Raw genomic sequence first — 24,301 nt, 5'->3', positions numbered from 1 at the left:
GGATTCTTAGAAGGAATTCCTGGGGAGGGAACTCTCCGGAAAAAAATCATTGACATCTTGCTAATCAAGAAGAAAAGTGGTACAAATCAGTAAGATCTGGAGTACTGCAGGTGAAGTCTGGGAAATGTCCATTACAGATTGAAGAGTCAAAATTAGATGTCATACCTTTATGATGGGTGGACTAGTTTCATTTGGCACCATCCATGCATATGACCATAATATTTAAAGATACGGAGCTTGAGATCTTTGATGATCTTTAAAAAAGGATCACACTGATTGGTTTCACAAAGAGTTACAGTAGGAGAGATCTTAATACCATTCATTACTGAAAATGGATACAGAAAATATTTCAAATATTCCCTTATATAACAGTTATTTCCTAGATCACTATGCTATAAATGTTTAAAGTATAATTGATAATTGCCAAATAACAAAAAGTAGGTACTTCTTTTTTTTTTTGAGACAGAGTTTCACTCTCGTTGCCCGGGCTAGAGTGCAATGGCATGATCTCGGCTCACCGCAACTTCTGCCTCCCAGGTTCAAGTGATTCTCCTGCCTCAGGCTCCCGAGTAGGTGGGATTACTGGCATGTGCCACTACGCCCAGCTAATTCTGTATTTTAGTAGAGACAGGGTTTCTCCATGTTGGTCAGGCTGGTCTCGAACTCCGGACCTCAGATGATCCACCCACCTGAGCCTCCCAAAGTGTTGGGATTACAGGCGTGAGCCACTGCACCTAACAAAAGTAGATACTTCTTACTTTGTAATGGCCTGTTGAAAAGTCTTAGAATTGTTCTGTACAGAGATTCATCTTTAACCAGTATTCTGGCTGCTTCCAAATTCACTGGATTCTCTAGCACTGGATTAGAAAGCATAACCTATAGGAAAACACAGACAACATATAATTTCAGAAGTAAACTTTTTTTAGAGCAAAACGACAAACCAATATATACAACTTTCAATAAGCATGTATTAAATGCTTACTATGTATGGATCTGGAAATAGATTAAAAAATAACATGAGACATAGTCTGTACTCTCAAGAAACCTAACCTTAGGCTCATGAATGTACGGTATAAAACTGTGATAGATCAAAAAGCAAGTTACAAGTTCCTTTCTGTAACTTGTTCCTTCCTAGCATATACATTTACATTGAATTTAAATTAAGATTATAAAAATTTTAGTTGATGGTGGTTAGTGTATTTAAAATTCAAAATATTTTAACCAACATTTCAAGTACACTTCCCTTGAATAACAGTGTGATAATTGAAAATGTATCTAATTTGTTATCAAGAAAGAAGTAGTTAGTCATTATGGTCTCAACTTGTATTGCCCATCACTGTAGGCACAGTCACAGGTGGTTATTTACATTTAAAATAATTAAAATTAAATAAAATTAAAAATTCAGCTCCCTAGTCACAGTGGTAACATTTCAAGTGCTCAGTAGCCACATATGACTAGTAGGTACTGTATTGAACGGTGAGATATATTGGACATTTCCATCAATGCAGAAAGTGCTACTGCGCAGCACTGACCTTCAAAGGAATACTGAATAGCTATTAAAATATTGATTATAACCATATGGAAGTTACTTGAGAGACAATGTTAAGTGAAAAAGAAACAGGCTGTATAGTTTACATACTCACGTGCCACATAACAATGTTTCACTCAACAACAGACGGCATATATCATGGTGGTCCCATAAGATAATAATACCAAATTTTTACTGTACTTTTTCTATATTTAGATACACAAATATTTACCATTGTGTTACAATGGCCTATAGTGTTTAGTACAGTAACATGTTGTATAGGTTTGTAGCCTAGGAGCAACAGGCTATAACATAGCCTTCGTATGTATTAAGCTATACCATCTTGGTTTGTGTAAGTACGCTCCATGATTTTCAAACAACGATGAAATGTGTAACAACTCATTTCTCAGAATGTATCCTTGTTGCTAAGCACATGGCAATATACATACCATAATAGCAATAATGTAAAAATTCAGGTTCATTCATTCATTCATTTTATTTAATATCTACCAAATGTCAGCATTGTCTTTGGTATGCTCCAGGAAATCAAGGATGAATTAGACCTGTTTCCTGATTTTGGGGAGCTTGCAGTCCAATAGGGGAAGACAGATAAGTAAGCAGTGTGTGCTTTATAGTATTAGTGTTCTAACAGAAATCTGCTCAGGGTACTGTTGGGTGTGTAGCAAAGGAAGCTCCCCCAAAACCAAAGCTATTAATTCTCCCTAGGAAAATAAATCAGAAAAGGTATCCTAGAGGACGATTCATTTGTTCCAACTCTTACAACAACATGAACAACTGCTTGCTGGACAGACTGAGGAAGAGAAGAGGAGAAAATGAGTTGCCAGGCAGAGGGGAACTGGAGACTGACCATTTCTAAGGTAACTTTAGAACTCTATGAATGTTTTTTTTATCTGAATTGACCCAAGCAATGTGAGTGCAGAAAAGCATGAAGATATAAGTATGAGCAGGATTGCCTGGTGTGTTAGGGAGAGTCTAGGTGTGAGGATTAGATATGCAACAGAACTAGAGCTTACACCTGTGGAGAAGGTGGGATCCACTGAAAGATTTTAAACTGAAAAACAGGAGAAAAGAGCAGAAAGCTCTTTCCTAGTAACAGTAAAGTTAAGGGTTTTCTTTATAATTGTCAGTGATTTTCTTTTCCTTCCCATTATCTTAAAAATCTTTTGTAATGTGGGCATATTTGTTTTATTAATGTTTTCGAAAAATAAAAAGACAAAATTGTGTTATCTACTGGCTTTCCATGATATATTTGGCAACACTTTGGTGTCACTTTGCATTACTCTTTAATAGTAAGAACAATCATAATGTTAACTAACTAGAGGTTCAGCATCCTAAATCTGAAAATCTGAAATCCTAAATACCCCAGAATTCAAAACTTTTTGAGGACCGACATGATGTGCAAAGGAAATGCTCACTGGAGTATTTCAGATTTCAAATTTTCAAATTTGGGATGCTCAAATGGTAAGTATATGTAATGCAAATATTCAAAAATTGGAAAAATTTCCAATTCCTAAGCATTTCAGATAAGAAATACTCGACCTGTATTAACTATTGAGTTATTTTCTTGGACCAGGCACAGTTCCGAATTCTTTACACACATTAATTAATTTCCTCCTCACAGGTTACATGAGGTAACAACAGCCCCATTTTACTGATGAAGAAATTGAGACATTGAGAAGTGGAAAAATTTGTCCAATGATAGATACAAAGGTATCAAGTGGCAGAACCAGGATGTGAAGCCAAGCAAGCTAACTCAGAGCCCCACATTTTCCTTTTATCAAATTATTCTGCAATTCAAAATTTTCACCAGTTCATTCTGGTTTGCCCTTACTCATTACATTTTGGGATCATTTTGCTATTCTTAGGGCAGACTCTAGTTTAGGTGGATGAGATCAGAATATGTCTCAGTTTAAAGGAATCCAAAGGATTAACCCCAGATTTCTGCATATCACACTCACTCACTCCCTTAAATTTTTTGCTCAAATGTCTCCTTCCTAGAACACAACCTCACACAAGTAGATCCTCAATACATATTTGTAGAATGAATGAATGAACTGAACATTGAATCTTTCCTAAAGATTATATTTTACTTAGTATGCTAAGATGACTAGCCAGGAAAGTATTATTTTATTTATTTTCAAATACAAGAAATAGAAGAAATGCAATTTATATTATAATTCTATATTTAAAAACTCAATTATGCCAGAGTATTTTATATTCCAAGTATTCTAGATAATCAAAATGTAATTATTTATCTTCAGATATTATTGGTGATAAGTAGGTCATGGATAGATTATTGCTAAGCTAGCTCTAAGAGGTCAAAGCAAGTTCACTGAAATAATTCATTTTAGCATTAGATGAGAAAGGAGGCATTTTTAAGGACCAGAAATAACACAACACTGGGTGGATGTGGTGGCTCTTGCCTGTAATTCCAGCATTTTGGGAGGCTGAGGTGGGAGGATTGCTTGAGCCCAGGAGTTTGAGGCCAACCTGAGCAACATAGTGAGACCCCGTCTCTACAGAAAATTTAAAAAATTAGCCATCCATGGTAGGGCATGCCGGTGGTCCCAGCTACTTGAGGGGCTGAGGTGGGAGGATCACTTGAGCCCAGGAGGTTGAGGCTGCAGTGAGCCAGGATTGTGCCGTTGCACTCTAGCCTGGGTGACAGAGCAAGATCCTGTCTCAAAAAGAAAAAAAGAAAAGAAAAGAAATAGCACAACACTGAGGTATGCTTCTAAGGACCATGGGTCCAGTGGGTAAAGGTGGCATCTGAGAAACAGGCATCTGAGGAGAGGAGAAAATCCTTGGTATAAATTGTTCACTGGGTTTGATGTGAACACTATTGGGACAGAAAGTAGCTAACTAGCACTGTCAGAAACAAAAAACAAAAGTGAACATTTTAAGTTGTAGTCATTCGATCCACCTCTCTCAGGAAGGCAAGGTCCATAAATGAAGAAAGATCTAAAAGGCTTGCTCAACATCAGGAAGTGAAGTTAGGAACCAAAAGAAAACCTAAGGTTATATTTTCAGAATTGAAACCATCTAAATAATTATTTTATTCTTTTATAAGATATGCATTCTTTGGTCTTGAGGGGCCTTAACTATCAATTTCACTTTAAATAATAGTTTTTATAATTTAAGTAAGTTCCACTTTGTAGCCTTCATATAGAAGTATGGATTTAAATAAACTTCTCAAATTCTTTAAACACTTAAATATGCATTGTATATTTTAATCCTTGTAGTTTGAATAATTAGGGTAATTAAAAGTATTAAAGAGAGGATTATATGAAATCCATTCTTACCTGTAGGGCAAGTAAGATGCTGCTCAATGTATAGTTTGTATTCCACTTCTCAGGGTTGTCCAAAAAGTCTATACAGGGCTGACCAGTGTGTGGGTCTACTGTATTAAAATAATACATTAATATTTGCATTTATAATAAATTATTATTTAAAACTTACAAACATCAAAATGATAAGCCAGAAAAATTATCTGCATTTACTCTTCCTTTTTCCTAGTTCTTCTCTCTGTACTGAGAAGCACTATACCCATCCCTGGTTCCCACCCATTACCATGTTGTTTTAGCTGAATACATAGGTGCCCCTACAGTTTTTCCTATCCTCTCCTTTAGCAAGATGTGGCCTTGTGACTAAGTTTTTGTTGTGGGACATAAGGATAAGTGTGCAATTTCTGAGTCTTTTTTTAAAGGAAGCTGGCTTTCCTTCTTTTCTTCCCCCTTCCCCCAGACTGGAAATGGTGACAAACAGTAAATGCCTTAGTCCCAGAAATGGAATCTTCACATTGAGGATGGGCACAACCTCCCTCCAGCGTTGTCCTGTTATGTTAAGTTGGAAAGATGTACAGGAGCTTGGCATATGCCCTAACACAGTTAAGTAATTTAGTGTTTGAAAAAATAATAGAGTTAAATAAGAAAAATAAAACTGTAGAATGACTAGAAGAAACTTAAAATGACTATTTGATTTTCTTTTGGGAAAGGATCATCTAAGATGAAAGACAACTGCAAAAGCCTCAAAGGACAAGATTAATAGATCTTAAATATAAATTTATTTTAAATCATAAAAATCTCTAAATCCCAGATGTGAAAAAACAGCATAAACAAAGTTGAAAATTAATGACAAATTAGAGGAAATATTTGCAACATCTAGGACAATGTGATAGCACTGTCAATTGTATCATACGAGTCACAAAATAAGAATCAACAAAGGTGGGAAATGTTTACTTCTCAAGTATTCAAAGAAGTGCTTATTAAAATAATAGCAAGACTCTTACCAAATTGGCAAAAAAATTTTCTTCAAAGTTTCAATGGCCAGAATTGGAAGGTGCTAAAATAAGAACTTTATATGTACTTTTTGGTAGGAGTACAAATACCACCGAAAGGCAATTTGGCTTTTTATATAAAGACTTAAAACTGTACATAGCCATCTTTTGCGGGGCGGGCGGGGGCGGGGGTTGAAAGCTAGTAAATAACCCTTCTCTCCCCTCAAGTTCATATGTAATTATAAAATAGATCAAAGTATTGAAAGGTGGAAGTAAAAACATCAGCTTCATTGCACATAAGACTGAAATGGAGAACGCACTTGATGAATGGCTTTAATCAGGCTCCACAAAAGTCCCCCTGATTTAAACTTAACTCCCAAACCGAAGGCCTGCCTAAGTTTCCTGCCTGGAGCAAAAGAGACTATACCCAGTATGGTCAGAAGGAGAGAGTGTTGAGCAAGTTCTGGGCCACATATGCTCAATTCTTTCCTTCATCTCCCTAATCAGATAAGTGACTTCTAGGAGGAGTGATGGGGGAAAAAAAAAGAGCAGTCACAAGTTTTCCTATACCTTCCCCCTCCTAGAGACTAAAGTTCCCTCTACTTTATGGAAGTGGGAGGGATGAGGACTAGGGGATAAGAGTACCTCCCCCCATTGAATTTAATCCAATAATTCTAACTATTTTAAACAAATAAAGGCACACGTATGTAATTAATTTTGTGTTATAGATACCAAAAATAGGTTTTAATTACAATAAAATAATGTACTTGGGAAAAAAACATAAAAAATCTAATGTAAAATATGAATGTTCCCCTGCCTACTAATTCTACTATTCAAGACCAATATTACCAGTTGGTCTATACAAATATACACACAAACACATATATGTATACACACCCATATGTGTGTGTTTATTAAATGGGAATATATTTTACATTTTATTGTTCAATGTATTTTTTCACTTAACAATGTATTTTCAACATATTTCTGGACACAAATATTTATTCAAAAAATATCTGAATACCTACTATATGCCACGCAGTGAAGATTCTAAGGATATAGCAATGATCTAGACCTAAAAGGTTCGTAGACCTTCCTCGTTCTGTTTAGAAGCAATACACGTAACTGTAGGATATTTCACTTAAAATTCCTGTGTTAATGGAGATTGAAGTTATTTCCATTTTTCCTATTTCTAACATTGCTGTTGGGAATAAACATCTTTTTTTTTTTTTTTTTTTTTTTTTTTTTTTTTTTTTTTTTTTGAGACAGCGTCTTGTTCTGTTGCCCAGGCTGGAGTGCAATGGCACAATCATGGCTCACTGCAGCCTCGACCTCCTGGGCTCAAGCAATCCTCCTACCTCAGACCTGAAGTAGCTGGGACTACAGGCACATGCTACCATGCCAAGCTAATTTTTTTATTTTCTGTAGAGACAGGTCTCACTATGTTGCCCAGGCTGGTGTCAAACTCCTGGACCCAAGCAATACTCCCCACTGACCACCCAAAGTACTGGGATAACAGGCATAAGCCACTGAGCCTGGTGGGAATAAACGTCTTTAAATATAACACACTCTTGCACACTTGTGCTAATATTTCTACAGAATAGTTTATAAACATGGTATTACGGGAATTTAGGGATATATGCATTTTATACCTGATTAGAAACTGTCACACTACTTCCTCAAAAGGTCATGATTATATCAGAGGAACAATGTCTGCCCATGCCTACTAAATATGTATGTTATATTTTGACATTTTATGAATATGTGATAAATAACAATACTTTTTGTTTTAATTTGCTTTTATTTTCTTAGTAGTGAGATTGATAATCTTTTTATGTTTATTTTTGTTGTTTATTCTGTCCAGTGTTTGTTTATAGCCTTTCTCCATTTTTTAATTGCTTTATGTTCTTTTTATATTGATTGACAAGTGTTCTTCATATGGTATACATATTCTGTTACATGCATTGCAAATATTTTCCCTCAGTTTGCAAAAGTCAGTGTCTTTGACCTCTGAGTATAATGTCCTGGGCCGTAGAGAAGTTTTAACAGGTTTTGCAGTTTAATGTGTCATATTTTCCATACAGTTACTGGGTTTTATCATGCTGAGAAACGTCTTCCTCACCAAGCCCATAAAAATTCTATTAGATTTCCTTCTTTTCCAGCATTTAAAATTTTTAGATTTTTGATCCTTCAGGAATTGGTTTTGTGTATAACTTTAAGTAGCAATCTAACTTACCTTTTATTTAAAAAAAGTTAATCTGTCCAGTGCATCGTTTTTTTATAATAATGAAAAATTAGATCCAACTAAAATATTGAACAATACAGAAATGGTTAAGTGTATTGTTGAACCATTTAAGATGATCTTTTGAAGACTGTTTAATAATGCAGAAAAAAGACATATAGTTTTAAAATTAAAAACCTAGGCCAGGCGCAGTGGTTCACAGCTGTAATCCCAGCATTTTGGGAGGCCAAAGTGGGCGGATGGTCAGGAGTTCAAGACCAGCTTGGCCAACATGGTGAAACCCCATCTCTGCTAAAAATACAAAAACTAGCCAGGTGTGGTGGCGCATGCCTGTAGTCCCAGCTACTGGGGAGGCTGAGGCAGGAGAATCGATTGAACCTGGGAGGTGAAGGTTGCAGTGAGCCGAGATCACACCACTGCATTCCAGCCTGGGCGACAGAGAGAGACTCTGTCTCAAAAAAAACACCATAAAATAAATAAAATCAAAAACCTAGAGGCAAAACTTCATGCATAATACCTCAACTGTATAGAAAAAATTCATACTTAGAAAAAAGGAAAATAAATTTGGCAAAATGTTGACAGTATTTTCTCTTTGCATTAGGATTTAAGGTGATTGCTAATTTTTTCCAGCCTTTTCATATTTTCCCCAATGAGAGTTCTTACTTTTAGAATCATAATAAAGTTCTTAAAAAGAAACATGATTATTATAAGAAACAAGGATAATAGGGACAAAGCCTCTAATGATAAAAATGTCATTTAGTTCTTACCATTTGGATGAAACGGAATTGTTATAAATTTCACAACTGGAGGAGCATAGTTGTACTCCGATGTAAAATGTATTGTCAGTTGGAAGACTAAACCTATAATATAGAAATAAACATTTTTACTAAAGTGTCATGTTTATTGATTAACTGTAACCTGATTAACACTGGAGTTTCTCCCTATGGTTTAGTCTTTCCACAGTTTTATTTTTAAGTAAATTGATTCATAGAGTGCACCGACTCCTCTGGATAGTATAACAGACACTTCACAATCTATTATAATCATACGTTTTCAGTCTCTTTCCCACTAGTCCTTTCCATCTACTACCTTTGTCGCCCTAACATCCACCCCCTCTGTTGTATCTCGTATTGACTGAACTCATGTTCCCAAAATCTGCTACACCCTTTCTTGTCTACAAGTCTTTGCTGTGCTGTTTACTCTGCCCGAATTTCCTTATCCTTCTTCTGAACCTGGCAGATTCTTCAGGACTCAACTCAAATGTGATCTCCTTGGGAAGACATTCCTGACTCCCTCAGGCATAATTAACTAATCCTCTTCCTCTTTAGCATTCTGTTCAAAATCCATAATAATGTATATTTTATTGTAATTATCAGCTGATGTGTTTGTCTCCCCTACCTCACTCAAGGAATCTATCTTATTAATCCATAATTGAAAGAAAACATGAGCATTAAAGTTTATAGTGGCTTAGTGTTCTTGAGATTTTTTGATTTATGAAAATTTGGGGGAAAATCATAAAGGAAAAAATGAGAAGTAACTGTGGGGTTTTGAAGCCAATAGGAATTTTGATAGTTATTCCCTGATCTCACGGAAGGCAGACGATATTCTCTCAATTGATATGCTCTATTGTGTCTGCTTCTTAAAAATGTAATAAAATTAAGATTTGGCATAAAGAAAAATACCCCAAATTTCCATCTATGTTGACACATGGCAAAAAAGTCATAAATAAAAAAAATGGGAATATTTTTAGAATTTTAGACAACTGGTATAATGCAAACTTATGCATATGAAGAAGAATTTCAGGAAATTTATATAATGCGACCTTATCCTACATAAAAAGAGGATGGGCTAATAATGGTATAAAGACTTTTTTAAAAAATAGATTGGTTTTGAAAATACAAACCCTGCCAAACTGAATTCTGTAGACCTTCAATTTCAACTTCCCATTCCATCATATCTTCACTTACAGGCTTAGCAGTGATACCCTTGAAGTTAAAAACAAAATTAAATCAGAAAAAACTTATTAAGTATTTATTGAAGTTTTGAAAATCATATACCAGGTCACACTGAATTCTAAAAACTCTAAATTTTCTTTCCTTGATAAGTTTATTTATTTGCTGCTCTGGGGAAGTGTTACATGTCTTATTTCACGGAAGTTAATATAGATCCCAGAAAACATATGCAATAGTAATTAAAAATAAATCATAAGTGTGGAAATCACAAGTGGGACTAGAGAGTCAAGATTAGAATGTGTGGCTTATATACTGTTTGTGTAAATCAATAACCAATTTAATATTCAAATTTTAAAAGAAAGAAATAGTTGGAAAGTGCATGTTTCTTCAAAACATTTTAGAGCTATATGAATGCTATATGAAAGGCATGAAGTGGGAACATTTTCATTAAGAAAAAATCCAAAATTACACTTGTATATAAAAGCAAAGTTTTCCTATACTTGAGGAGTTGTTCCAATGGAGGGACAAGAATGTATTTCATAGAAAACCTTATGAATTACGTTAAGTAACACACTTACAAACACATAAAAACACTTCTGAGCATCCACATAGTTATTAAGTATGTTAGTGCTTGTCTGGGTGAGCCCTGTCTCTCTATTATCTATATTTACATATTCCTTCATTGGATTCTCTTTCAACAGAGAACTACAGAGCTCAGGATGAGCAGAAACAATATCAAATGTTAGGTCCATGCCCCAGGAATGTTCGCTGTTGGACTCCATAATTGTTCCTAACATCTCCAGTGAATGCAGTACTTTTATAGCAGAGGTAAAAAATGAACAATGCCACTGAACTACACCTGAAGCAACTGTGGGAAGCACTCTATACCTTTCATGGACAGCTTTCTTTCTGTTCTTTCTCTTAAGCACTCCCTCTTCGCCCCCTCTTCCATTTTTCATTTTCCGTAAATCAGCCTGTGGCAGCCATGGACATTGATAACCTCATTGGTGGCGTTTAAGCCCAAGGACATTGCTTCTTTTGTGTTAAAACTATAAAGGGAAGGCATTTATGTGTCATGCTGGTAAAAGTACACTAGACAGTAAGCAGTGGAACACAGGAATTAAGAACTAGGGCTTTGAAGTCCAAAAACCCTGTAATGGAATCATGGGGCAAAATCTTTACAGAATATTTCTGAGGCTTAGGTTTTTGGTAAGTAAAATGAAATACTACTTATTGTATAGTATTATAATTAATGAGCATAAGCCTGCACCTACTAGTCACTAACTACATGACAGACCCTGATATTCAGTGCCTAGATCCACATAAATTACTCTGCATAATATGTTCAATATTGTTAAGCATTATTATTTTGAAGTAATAATAATTGTTATTAATATGAAACACATTACTTCAGTGAAATGGATTTATTAAATAACAATACTGTAGTGGCAAATCAGGTTTAACTAAATTACTACTTATAGAATAAAATGGGTTAAACTGCCTCTTAAAAATTATTGCACAATGAAACACATCTCTCCACGTGCCCAGTACTTACCTTATAATTGTTCTCCTTGAGATCACAGAAGTCTCTGTGCAGCAAGAGGTAAGCTCTGCCGTGCATGATAGGCAGCGGAGGGTCTGACACTTGTCCCCAAATGCCTCAGGTTTACTCTGAGGCAGATGTTTGAAGTTATGGGTCACTTTCCCACACTTAGTAAACTGATATAAGTTACTTGCTTTCTAGAACCTCAGAACGGTACCAAGATAAGCGGCTTCTAAAGTTGGGATATAACAATGACTTTTTCTCCTGACTCCTCTAAACGAGAACTTCCCGAAGGAAGACTTGGGCACTTCCTCATCTGCGGCGTTTCACTGCAGTGCCGGCTCACAGCCCAGTCTCAAGACAAACTTGGATGAGTAACGGAGACAAGCCCATGTCGTCGGCGCGTGAGTGGGAGTGAGAGGTGTACGCCTATCAGGGTCCTAGCAGGTTGTCTTCGCTTCACAGGTGCAACCCCGCAGCCACGCACCGGAGGAAGCAAATCGGTTGCCAACCAACAGGCCCCCGTGGGGCCGCCGAGAGACGGAGGCAGGGGGTTGGCCGCTCTCACCCAATCAGCGACAGGGGGCAGGCCTCTTGCTATCTCCACAGCCAATCCTACAACAGTTTCCCCTTTGAAAGGCCAATGAGATTCGTGGTCAAGGCAACACCACGCCTTCTCAGGCCACGAACATGGACTGTACAAAACTAGTGTAGAGGATGGGGTGAGGTCCCAGGACCCAGCATGTAAGTCACAGAAGCCGTCCCACGAAGTCTTTCTTCGAAATTATCCTTCCTTTTTCTTTGACTATCAAAAGATATAGTAAGTGACTGGTAGGTACAGGTCTGCATAACAATATCTTAACTTACATGGCGAGTTACCATTCACAGTAGTGTGCATGCTATTATGTCATCAAACCCTACAATCACCCTGGGAAAGTGCTCCAGGAACAGGGAACTGCTTAAAATTTCTCTGATTCCCATCTCTTCCCGCACAGTTTCGCACCTGCTGTTCCTTCTACCTAGGAGTTTACCACATTCCTTCCACCCCTTCAGCCCTCATTTCCCCTTCACTCACTCATCCTTCAGATTTTAACGACTCTTTAAGGGATCCTTTCTTTTGTGATCCCACAGGACCTTCTATTTGCCTCCTAGTTAACATTTGCCATACGGCATCACAATTGTCTATTGTCTTCACCAGAGTGGGAACTACTGAAAGACACGGTTCCATTGCCAGCGCCAACTACAAAGCCTGGCATCTTTGTTCAGAATACTTTCTTTTTTTACTTTTTACTTACTAATTTTATAGAATCCGGATGTTCATTTAGTCCATTCATTTTACAAATATTTATTAAATACTTTTTTTTTACTTGAAAGATTCAAATGAAGTAAATGTCTTTATGGCTCCAATATACAATAAACAAGTATGCAAAACAAAAATCATGATTTCAGATGGTGATAAACGTTATGTGGACAATAATAAAACAGTACCATGATAGAGATTGGGGTAGGTCATTAAGGATTAGAAATGGTAGTCAGGAAATGCCTCTGTAAGGAATGGGGTTTTGAACTCATACATGAAAGATGAGAAGGAGCCTGCTACATGAAATATTGAGGGCAGAGAGTTCTAGGAAGAGGAAAACAAGATATTTTTGAGTCAGGAAAGAGCTTGTCTTGAAAAGGGAACAAGGGAAGGTCAGGGAGGTTGTGGAGGAGCCTGGGAGGGGTGTGATAAAGATGGGCACTATACAGTAGGAAGTTTGGGCTTTATTTGAATAGCTATGGGAATCCATTTAATGGGTTTAAACAGGAGAGTGTCATGCTCTGATTTATTTATTTATTTATTTATTTATTTATTTATTTTATTGATCATTCTTGGGTGTTTCTCGCAGAGGGGGATTTGGCAGGGTCATAGGACAATAGTGGAGGGAAGGTCAGCAGATAAACAAGTGAACAAAGGTCTCTGGTTTTCCTAGGCAGAGGACCCTGTGGCCTTCCGCAGTGTTTGTGTCCCTGGGTACTTAAGATTAGGGAGTGGTGATGACTCTTAACGAGCATGCTGCCTTCAAGCATCTGTTTAACAAAGCACATCTTGCACCGCCCTTAATCCATTTAACCCTGAGTGGACACAGCACATGTTTCAGAGAGCACAGGGTTGGGGGTAAGGTCACAGATCAACAGGATCCCAAGGCAAAAGAATTTTTCTTAGTACAGAACAAAATGAAAAGTCTCCCATGTCTACTTCTATCCACACAGACCCGGCAACCATCCGATTTCTCAATTTTTTCCCCACCCTTCCCGCCTTTCTATTCCACAAAACCGCCATTGTCATCATGGCCCGTTCTCAATGAGCCGCTGGGCACACCTCCCAGACGGGGTCGTGGCCGGGCAGAGGGGCTCCTCACTTCCCAGTAGGGGCGGCCGGGCAGAAGCGCCCCTCACCTCCCGGACGGGGCGGCTGGCCGGGCAGGGGGCTGACCCCCTCTCCCCCCTCCCGGACGGGGCGGCTGGCCGGGCGGGGGGCTGACCCCCCCACCTCCCTCCCGGACGGGGCGGCTGGCCGGGCAGAGGGGCTCCTCACTTCCCAGTAGGGGCGGCCGGGCAGAGGCGCCCCTCACCTCCCGGACGGGGCAGCTGGCCAGGCGGGGGGCTGACCCCCCCACCTCCCTCCCGGACGGGGCGGCTGTCTGGGCGGGGGGCTGACCCCCCCACCTCCCTCCTGGACGGGGCGACTGGCCGGGCAGAGGGGCTCCTCACTTCCCAGAGGGGGCGGCTGGCCGGGCGGGGGGCTGACCCCCCCCACCTCCCTCCCGGACGGGGTGGCTGCCGGGCGGAGACGCTCCTCACTTCCCAGACGGGGTGGCTGCCGGACGGAGGGGCTCCTCACTTCTCAGACGGGGCGGTTGCCAGGCAGAGGGTTTCCTCACTTCTCAGACGGGGCGGCCGGGCAGAGACGCTCCTCACCTCCCAGACAGGGCGGCGGGGCAGAGGTGCTCCCCACATCTCAGATGATGGGCGGCCGGGCAGAGACGCTCCTCACTTCCTAGATGGGATGGCGGCCGGGAAGAGGCGCTCCTCACTTCCTAGATGGGATGGCGGCGGGGAAAAGGCGCTCCTCGCTTCCTAGATGGGATGGCGGCCGGGCAGAGACGCTCCTCACTTTCCAGACTGGGCAGCCAGGCAGAGGGGCTCCTCACATCCCAGACGATGGGCGGCCAAGCAGAGACGCTCCTCACTTCCCAGACGGGGTGGCGGCCGGGCAGAGGCTGCAATCTCGGCTCTTTGGGAGGCCAAGGCAGGCGGCTGGGAGGTGGTTGTAGCGAGCCGAGATCACGCCACTGCACTCCAGCCTGGGCACCATTGAGCACTGAGTGAACGAGACTCCGTCTGCAATCCCGGCACCTCGGGAGGCCGAGGCTGGCGGATCACTCGCGGTTAGGAGCTGGAGACCAGCCCGGCCAACACAGCGAAACCCCGTCTCCACCAAAAAAATACGAAAACCAGTCAGGCGTGGCGGCGCGCGCCTGCAATCGCAGGCACTCGGCAGGCTGAGGCAGGAGAATCAGGCAGGGAGGTTGCAGTGAGCCGAGATGGCAGCAGTACAGTCCAGCTTTGGCTTGGCATCAGAGGGAGACCGTGGAAGGAGACCGTGGAGAGAGGGAGAGGGAGAGGGAGAGGGAGAGGGAGAGGGAGAGGGAGAGGGAGAGGGAGAGCATGCTCTGATTTATATTTACTTGATTACTCTGGCTGCTCTACGAAGAATGAATTGTTGGGGGGGACCACTTGGAAGGATCCCACAGTAAATTTCACCTCCAGGTATGGTAGCTTAGAAATCACCAACAACATATTCACTGTACTAAAATGCTGACACAATAAAATGCTATTATTCTATGTTTCCTAAAACTAAATAGAAAGGATTTTTTTCCTGTGAAAACATCAACAGGATCTGGGATTGAATATTTTGGCCCTTCTTTCCAGCCCATCAGATTTCAACATGGGCTTGCATAGGATTGGAAATATCAGGTGAAAGTGAGTAAAGGGCTACTTCAGTGAGAAGGGAATAGGCCCAATTTGGAGATCGTAACTAGGTTTGTCCATATCACTGTGGTCCCACAATCCTTTCTCCCACCCTAATGGATTATTGTGATAATGAATTCAGAATCTTTTGTATTTAAAAAATATATTTATTTATTTATCATGGAAAACATGATATTTTGAAATATGTATATGTTATGGAACGGCTAAATTGAGCTAATTAACATAAGCATTACCTCATATGTTGAGGAAACCTAAAATCTATTCTTATCTATTTTCAAAGATACAACATATTTTTATTAACTGTAGTCATCATGTCATACAATAAGAATCCTCCATCTTTTGTTTAGAATTTCATTCTAGGGAAAATTTTGTTAAAGTAAAAGAAAGATAAAAGTAAGTAAGGTAAAAGAAAATTAAGGTAAAGAAAAACATTTTTTGTTGTGAATTTTTAGAAGATGGCATTTATATGATACTTTAGCACAATGAAAATCAAGTTGGAAGATATTCATATGACTCCCCCCACAACAAACCTATATTACTAGCTTTGACCTCTTCTTGGGACTTCTGACTAGTATACCTACTAATTTATATCCAAATGCCTGGTTGTCACCCAGCTGTCTTGTCCCAAACACATTTCAAACTCAAATGTCCAAAAATCAACTCATTACTGTTTCTCTCAACCAAGCTTCTGTCCCAGTTGGAAATTTGAAGTCATCTCTGACTCCTCCTCGTCCTCATGACTCCTCCTCTTCCTCATGACTCACAAGACATGCTGTTGTCTTAGCTTCTTCTCAAGCCTTACCAATAATGCTCAATTTCATAACCTTGTCATCTCTTGCCTAGATACAGAACATCTTTGTATTGTACTCCCTGACTCCAGACTTGCTTGTCATGAAACGTGATAGTAATGTATTTAAACTAACATGTGATCATGAAATTCTCTACTTAAAATACTTTGAGGGATTCCCCTTCATCCCAACGTATCCCATCTTCAACATGTGGATTTACTTCCAGGGATGTAGGTGGGATGGCTGAAATCACAGGCAACTTTATATGTGTCCGTCTCTACATTTGTATGTGTATGCAAATGAACTTTTTTTTTTTACTTGATAAACCACACACTACAGAATTAAATCTAAGTTTCTTAACATGGAAAGCAGAGCATTCCATAATATTTTCCTATTTATGCCTACTTTTATTGACACTCACTCTGCTTCATACTTGAGGTACCCGCTCCATTAAACTGCATTATCTTTTTCCTGTATGTACCCATCTTGCCTAGGCTCATCATCTTTTCTCCCTGACCTTTCTTCCTCTTTTTAAATCTAATTAAAAACTGTTAGCACATCCTGAAAGAGATAAATGCCTCCTTGGAGCCATCCTGAACTGCCAGAATGGGTTGTGTTCTCATTTGACCTGGGTTCACCTTTGTATATTATCACCACATTATTTTGAAACTATTTGTTTATGGGGTTTTCTCACTCACTAGAATATAATTTCTTAAGGCCATGGAGACCTGTTTATTCATCGCTGCATTCCCAGCACCAAGCACCTGGCTCAGAGGTGGTATCAGTATATTCTGATTGAATTGAACTTAGCAGAATAGAAAGTTTTGGGGCCAGGAGAGTGACCTTCCATGAAAGAACTAGGCATAAGCAAAGGAAGAGGGTTGCAGAGATGTGAAAAGCTGGGTGATGTAGAGAAGCTCAGCCAGCTCCATGACACATAGGAGGCTAAAGTCTGAAGGACAGTGACAGAGTAGACAATGAATCAGAAGCACCCCTGAGAGCAAGAGCCACCAGAGCAGAAGGGGCTGCAGAGCTTCAGCCAAGGCACCTTTTATAAGCAAAATCCCCAGGACGCCAAAAAGGAAGGGAAAGACACTTATAAAGGTCCCACACCCGGAGGGGCTGAGGAGACAAACAGGTTAAGGTTTCCAGAAATATTTTGGGAATGAATTTTTTGAGAAATAAAAAGCTTCCTGCCAATGTGAGGGTTTGGTACTGTTGTGTTTGGAGATGCTAACTAAACAAGATCACAGATATACTCACTGGCTGGCCAGCATCTTGTATTTTTTCTATCTTTTTGTTTTTTAGAGAGTTTTCCTCTGTTGCTTAGGCTGGAGTGCCTTGGCGCAGTCATAGCATATCTTATCCTGTGCATGCATGTGTGCGTGTGTGCATGTGTGCGTGTGTGTGTGTGTGTGTGTGTGTGTGTGTGTACCTAGCATCTAGCATCTGTGTAGCAACTGGATAGGTTTGCCTCCTACAATTAATATTATAGCAGCAGGAGCTGAAAACTAATAGCATCAGCTGTTCAGCCATCTGAGTCACTCAAAATTGGAAATTTATAAGGAGAGGCCCATCTGAAAATATTTTCTCTGCATGGGATCACCTTCCATTTATTACAACAAATGTCAGTTTTAGTAAACTTTTCACATACATGATATTATTGCTGTCATAATCTTCTTGTCACTTCTCACTCCTGAGCGTTGTCTTTCTCTGCCTTGTTCATCAGCTTTGTTGTGTTTGGTTGTGAGTTAGACAAACCAACTCAACTGGGAAAATAAATCCCCATCTTCAGTTCTTCCACTGCGTTAATTTATTAGTAAGTCTGTTGATAAATAGAATGTGCCTTCAAGGCAGACCTGGGTTCTGTTCTGTGTCTTATTAACCCGTAAAGATAGTCTTGAAGAAGTTACTTAGCTTCCCTGTGCCTACAATGTTCTCACCTGTAATTTGCGGCCAATAGTAATACTTACTTTGCAGGATCATTATGAGGATTAAAAGATATAATCCCTGCCAATGACTCAGTCACACCTGGCATAGAGTAAGTAATAGCCAACACCTGCACTTTCCGTGTGCTGAGCATGCTGTTCTAAGTGCTCTATGGGAATTAATTTCATCCTCACTAATAACTCTGTACAGTAGGTACTCTTAAGATTCTAATTTACAGATGAGGAAAACCAAGGCACAGAGACACTGGATGATTTGCCCAAGGTTGCACAGCTGGAATGCAACAGAGCCAGGATGCAAACCTGAGTCCATACTTTTAGCCACTAAGCTACTCTGCCTCACAAGTATCTCATGTTCTACTAAGTGAGCTCTCCGGCCTTCAGTAAATTATTGCTACTCTCAATAGTTGTGAGAATATTTTTGTCCGGCTGTTATTTTTGTTTTTGTTAACTATTGTGGCTGCATTTCTACCTGCTGTTAAAACGTAAACCCAAGAAAGCCAGACCACTGCTGTATAAAATAGTGCCCATCCGTGGCTGGCCTTCTCCCAGGCTGGCTGGACCCCAGGGCCTGGCCCTGCCTGAGCCTCCTGTGCCAATACTGTGACTTAGAAACAATGTTAGTGCTGGGCAGCTCTACGTCCCTCCCCGTGCTGCCTGTGCCAGCCCCAGGCTGCTGGCAAGCAGAGGCCAGACCAGGGCCAGTCTGGGTACCCTGCCCCTCAGCTGGCCCTGCCCAGCCACCCAGCCACCCTGGATATGGCTCTGTCCCTCTGCCACACCCCAGGCCCTGTGAGGAGTCCCCAAGAGGAGCCCACTGTACCGTGGGGTTAATAACCTCTGCTGCCTGCCTGGGTATCTGGGCCTGGCCACCAGCCGTGTTCTTCATGTGTTGATTTTATTTGACCCCTGGAGTGGTGGGTCTCATCCTTCTCATCTTGGCAGAGAGCGGCAGAGGGCTGCCTCACTGCAAACCCTCCCTTCAGTGTCAGTGATGGTTGTCCTTGTCTCAGAATAACCAGGGGCCAGCCAGTGTCTGACCAAGGTCAAGGGGCAAGTGGAGGGGCGGCAGGGATGGCTCTGAAGCCAGAAATGCCTTAAACTGCAAAGCCCCATCCCCTCTCCAGCCCCAGCCCAGTCCCCTTAGGAGCAGGATCAGATAAAGAAGGCTGTGGGGAGGCTGGGCACCGCATTACTAACTCCAGTACATTTCCATGTTGATCCCTGTGAAACAAAGTCTGAAAACTTAAAAAAATTAAAACAGTGCCCAAATACATATCTGTTAACTAAATGTGTATCCTATCTTCTCTTTTAGATTGTAAATCCCTTGAGAACTGAGTTTGACCTCTGCAACTTATGAATACACTTATCATACGCTGTATGTAGCTCAGAAAATACCAACTATTATTATTTATAAAAATAATTTTAAGATGTTAACTTTTAGTAAATTTGTACCTTTAAGGGAAAGTAGATTTAATTAAGTCCTACTATATGTTTTCTTGGACTTTCTCTCCCAGTCCTTCCACCTAAAAATAGAACTACAAGTTTGAAAAGAAAAATCTTGCATTGTATTTTTATGGTAGGCAGGATTCTAAGATGACCTCCAGGATCCCTACTTGCTGTACAATCCTCAGGACTGTGAAGATGATGGATTTTACTGCTGTGATTAAGTTATATGGCGCATTCGACTTGAAGAAAGGGAGATTATTCTGGGTAAGCCTGACCTAATCAGGTGAGCCCTTAAATGGGACTAGGCCCTTCCTGAAGTCAGTGACTCAAAGCATGAGAGGGATTCCGTGTAAGGGAGACTGTCTGTTTCTAGCTTGGAAATGGAAGGGGCCACATGGCAAGGAATGTCGGTAGCCTGCAAGCGCTGAGAGTGACCACTGGCTGACAGCCAGCAAGAGAATTGGGGCCTTAGTCCTAGAGTTCCAAGGAACTGAATTTTGCCACAACCACATGAGCTAGGAAAAGGACCTGAATTCCAGATCACAGCAGAACCCAGCCAATACCTTGTAAGACCCTGCACAGAGAATCTAGTCAAGCCATGCCCAGATCAGACTGACAGAGTGAGCCAGGCAAGTGAGCAAGGCAAGGCAACTGACAGTGTAACTATTTCCCTTTTGTAATGTTACTGAGGCTGACTCCAGCTTTAACAACCAGGCATCCTCTCCCCTCTATGTAAAAATAATTCTTTCCCTCAGGACTCAAACAGATGTTTTCATTTTACTTAAACCGAAAGACTGTTTTCCTCCTCCACCAGGAATATGTAGCAGTACAAAGTGCTAACGTCGTGTGGATTTGAACCCCCATCCTCGAGAGCAAAAGAAGGCTGGGGATTGCCAAATGTCAACTGAGCTGTGAGAAGTGTTTTAAATCATATTTTGACGTAGGTTATGCTGTTAACTAGAAAATGAAGTGCAGCACACATGCTTCTAGTAACTCTAGTTTCAAATCCTATGATCTCTTCTTTGTCTTGAAGACCTTTTGATGTGAGTTCCCAATATTGAGTTTCTCTGCTTTTAATAATCTTATATTCCTTCCTCAATATAAATGTCATGAAAAATACTGAATGCTAATCTTCAAAGATCAAACAGGAAGAAGGAGGTGGGCAGCATAGTTCACTGACTTGAATTCCTGAAATTTCTCATTTAAACATTTTATTTTAGCTTATAAAAGCCTTGGCTCAAGAAATGCTTGGTTCCTCTTTTTAAAGTTGGAGTTGTGCACTCCCCCACATTTTCAGAAGTGTGTTAATTACAAAATAATTAGGCCTCTCTCTGTAAGGCACCTGACATGCAGGGGCCACTTAATCATTATTTGTATCTGTATTTGTGTTTACGGGGAGGAATTCAGAATCAATACTTACTGGTTTTTAGTTTGCTGTCTCTGCTTTAGCTAGGGTGACCAACACTCTTGGTTTGCCTGAGACAAAGAACTTTTCAGTGCTAAAACTGGGACAGTCCCTGGCAAACCAGCAGGGACTAACTTGGGCATCAAGGACCTTTTCAGAGTGGGAATTGTGTAAACAACTCGGCAAGAGCTGTTAACTTGTTTTGGGAGCTTGGTATTTAAAGGCACCCAATTTGGTTTCCGTGGCAGGCTGGTGCCCAAAGCCCGTGATCAATGTTATAAAAAATCTTGCTCAGAATTGTGTTAGGAGATGATTCTAGAGGTGTCTAGAAGGTGTCTAGAGGTGTCTAGAAGGAAAGCAGTGCCTGCTTGTGTGCTTTACATGCACTGAAGTGTTTTAGAAAAATCAGCTCTCCATTCATTTCCCCACATGAGAATCTCAATTGTTGAGCGATGCTGCATTCAATAACATCTATTTGTGACTATTCAGTGTGTGTATACAGGTGTTTAAAAGATGTAATTATTCTAGGCTCCTTTCATATATATCAGTTTAATATACCTTTTTACAGTGCTCTCAGTTGCCCCCAAGGGTAAACATGGAATTGGACGATGGAGAGACTTTGAGATGGCAATCATCTTGGAAGAGGGGGTTTAAGGGATGACATATGGTTTAGGGATGGCTTAGGGATGTGTCTTGAAGCTGTTTTACTTAGTTTATGTTTATTAGGGGTGGTCTGAAGGGAGACGATAGAACTGAATGAGGAGCTGGCTAACCCCACCCCCACCTCCTTAGCACCAATCTTCTGGGTGTTCTATGTGATGGCATATACATTAATAATTAAATGGAATATTTTGTTCTCTGTCTACCATACTAGAAAATATGTATCCCTTAGTAAAAGTTGTTTAAAACACATTGAATAATAACAATCTTACCACTCTTTGAGCACCTACTATGTGCCCAGATACCTCTCATATACTCACATATATTCTCATTAAATGCTCATACAAATTCGGAGAGATAAATATTATAGACAAAAATGATAAAATTAGATAGATATTGTGTTTTTAGAGGACTTTATGTCAGGTGCTCTTCTATTCAGATTACATGAATTATCTTGTCTAAATCTCATAACAATTCTGTAAAACAGATACTTTTTCAGGTGAAGAAACAGCAGTTCAGTAACTTGTCTGAGTTCACATGGTTACCAAGGTACGAAGGGGATATTTAAGCCAGACAATCTGACATCAGAACTCTTGGTGTTCAGAATGGTGTAAATGCTATATTTACACCATTTGATGCATAAGAAAATAGAGATTGCCTTACTTGCTCAATCAGCTAGCTCACCTTCCAGTGCAGCTGAAAAATACATGCTGTATGCTTGCATTCTCTTTGTCCAAGTCCCAGGAAGGAGGAGGAACTACAGATTACAGTGCTGTACGCTACGTGTCAGGGATTTATAGGAGATTTTCAAGGTAGCTTTTCTGGTACATTCTGGAATGGTCCTGAGAAGTTATAATTTTTAGGTTCTCCCCCAGACAATTGTGATAATAACCTGGTTTGACAACTATTGCCCCAGCACAGGGATGGCTAATAAGTTTTATTTCTAGTGCCATTTCTGAGTGGTAGGTTGTTCAGGCAACTATGTTGAAAATTTTAAGGCTAAGTCTGAGTTCAGTTGGGAAGAGCACCAATTAGTGATGTCTGCCATGAATTTGAGGAAAGAGAAGGACATGGGTGCCCTGGTGTCAGGTTCTAACTGAGGTCTGAGGGGAGTCAGTGGGTGAGTGGTAGGTAGCTGGAAAAACACTAGAGGAATTGTAGACAGTTTTGACATGGCTTTACTCTCTCTCTGGGCACAAGCGAGCCATATATACAGCGTTAGCAGGGTAATTGTATGTTTTACAGACAATAGTCCCTCCAAGCCAAGCACAAGCTCACATGGGTGATCACCTAATATGCCTCATGCGGTGTGGTTACATAATGTGCAGGGTTGTACGCCTGCGCTCCAAACCCACTGAGTCATGCTGCGCTAGAAGGCCGCCTTGGCCTACTTCTGAGTAAAGCACAGCCACTTCCCTTACACTCCACCAGCTAGGCTCAGGGCATCCTCTGGGCAGGGACACATGCCCATAGGGCGGAGCCCTGAATCCATAGCTCAAACAACAATACAGAGAGCAATAGCTCACTACTAGGATCCCAGTTATGCTACTTATGACTGTTAGGGCCCAGCATAGGCCAGAGCCCAGGAATACCCACCATAACTTCAGTGGAGTGACATGTATTATGTTTACACAGGCCATGACAGGTACCCATCCCGCAGTGGTGTTACCCCAGTGTTGCTGTATGCACCGCGGTGCCTGGGCTAGGGGTACTACATGTTCCCCCACTAGCCAGCCCCACCCATCATAAACACTACAGGCCAGCCAGGGGTGTGTGTGCCATGGGTCTTGCAGTGTCTTTTGTCCAAAGCTTGCTGCATTGCGTTCCAGGTGTCAGCCATGGGACCCCAAGTCTCCAGCCATGTCCAGTTCTCTGCAGACACTGAATGCATGTGCCAAGGCAAGCTGTCCACAACTGCTGCTGGAAGAGTGGTGCAGAGCCAACAGTTGGAAATATTGGTCACCTCAGCCTACGTGTGGGCCCAGTTCATGATGCAGTTGGAGCATGTTAACCTGTGGTTGAAATGACAGAGCAGGCATAGGTACTAACAGAGGTAAATCACGTCTCTCAAGCAAAATACAGGCTAACCTTTCATCCCTGGATAACAATGCAGCCAACAAGGGATTTTGCCCTGGATGATGGTACCACACCTTCTCAGCTCCCCATGGTTCTTTTGAGTCCTGTATCTGTGCCAAAGTCACAGGGGAACTCATAATAGGTCACACAAGCAATACATATATTCCCTGGAGGAGGGTGCCTTCCCTGGCCATTCCCCTACAAACAGTCAACTGCAGGGGCCATGTATTGAATACCCAAGGAGTGACATGCAAGTCATAGTGTATGCCCTACCCCCAGGGAGCTACGATGGCCAACCACTGGCAGTGGGGGGCTTGGAGGGTCCATGGCCACAGCCAGGTTTTCTGTTCCCCTGCCTTCAAGGGTGTTGGGGCTAGTAA

General features: G+C 40.9%; 1 protein-coding gene and 1 long non-coding RNA gene across 15 annotated transcripts in view, besides 2 other annotated features; one reads left to right on the top strand and one right to left on the bottom strand.

The window, feature by feature from the left end:
• The window catches only part of UBE2U (ubiquitin conjugating enzyme E2 U), a 63,746-nt gene extending 51,678 nt beyond the window's left edge, over window positions 1-12,068 (bottom strand). For 5 of the 14 annotated variants that reach the window (NR_158769.2, NM_001366232.2, NM_001366234.2 and 2 more), the window contains exons 1-5: window positions 11,575-12,068; window positions 9,971-10,052; window positions 8,835-8,927; window positions 4,852-4,949; window positions 759-876 (exon numbers count right to left, since the gene is read on the bottom strand). Coding sequence is in view for 6 of the 14 variants with exons in the window: in NM_001366232.2 (NP_001353161.1) it covers window positions 759-876; window positions 4,852-4,949; window positions 8,835-8,927; window positions 9,971-10,052; window positions 11,575-11,640 (457 nt within the window). In the remaining 8 variants the exon portion in view is untranslated. Of the gene's footprint in view, window positions 1-165; window positions 255-758; window positions 877-4,851; window positions 4,950-8,834; window positions 8,928-9,970; window positions 10,053-10,907; window positions 11,151-11,574 lie in introns of those variants that run through there. The other 9 variants (XM_017000380.2, XM_017000383.2, XM_017000379.2 and 6 more) reach the window with 7 other exon arrangements.
• Window positions 18,635-19,135: an enhancer, noted in NCBI's record as "H3K4me1 hESC enhancer chr1:64662239-64662739 (GRCh37/hg19 assembly coordinates)". NCBI's record gives its function as "activates a minimal SCP1, AML or CMV promoter by ChIP-STARR-seq in naive H9 embryonic stem cells {active_cell/tissue: H9 hESC(naive)}" and the evidence as "EXISTENCE:reporter gene assay evidence [ECO:0000049][PMID:30033119]".
• Window positions 19,136-19,636: an enhancer, noted in NCBI's record as "H3K4me1 hESC enhancer chr1:64661738-64662238 (GRCh37/hg19 assembly coordinates)". NCBI's record gives its function as "activates a minimal SCP1, AML or CMV promoter by ChIP-STARR-seq in naive H9 embryonic stem cells {active_cell/tissue: H9 hESC(naive)}" and the evidence as "EXISTENCE:reporter gene assay evidence [ECO:0000049][PMID:30033119]".
• On the top strand, window positions 19,646-23,756 carry LOC105378773 (uncharacterized). The gene is made up of 4 exons (XR_947459.3): window positions 19,646-19,709; window positions 19,915-20,044; window positions 20,595-20,691; window positions 23,675-23,756. It is a non-coding gene; the product is annotated as an uncharacterized LOC105378773 (long non-coding RNA).
• The last annotated feature ends 545 nt before the right edge of the window (window positions 23,757-24,301 follow it).

Source organism: Homo sapiens, chromosome 1 (genome assembly GCF_000001405.40).
Source record: "Homo sapiens chromosome 1, GRCh38.p14 Primary Assembly".
NCBI classification, from domain to species: domain Eukaryota; kingdom Metazoa; phylum Chordata; class Mammalia; order Primates; family Hominidae; genus Homo; species Homo sapiens.
The sequence above is the reverse complement of the archived record's forward strand: the minus strand, read 5'-3'. Positions and strand labels throughout refer to the sequence as shown.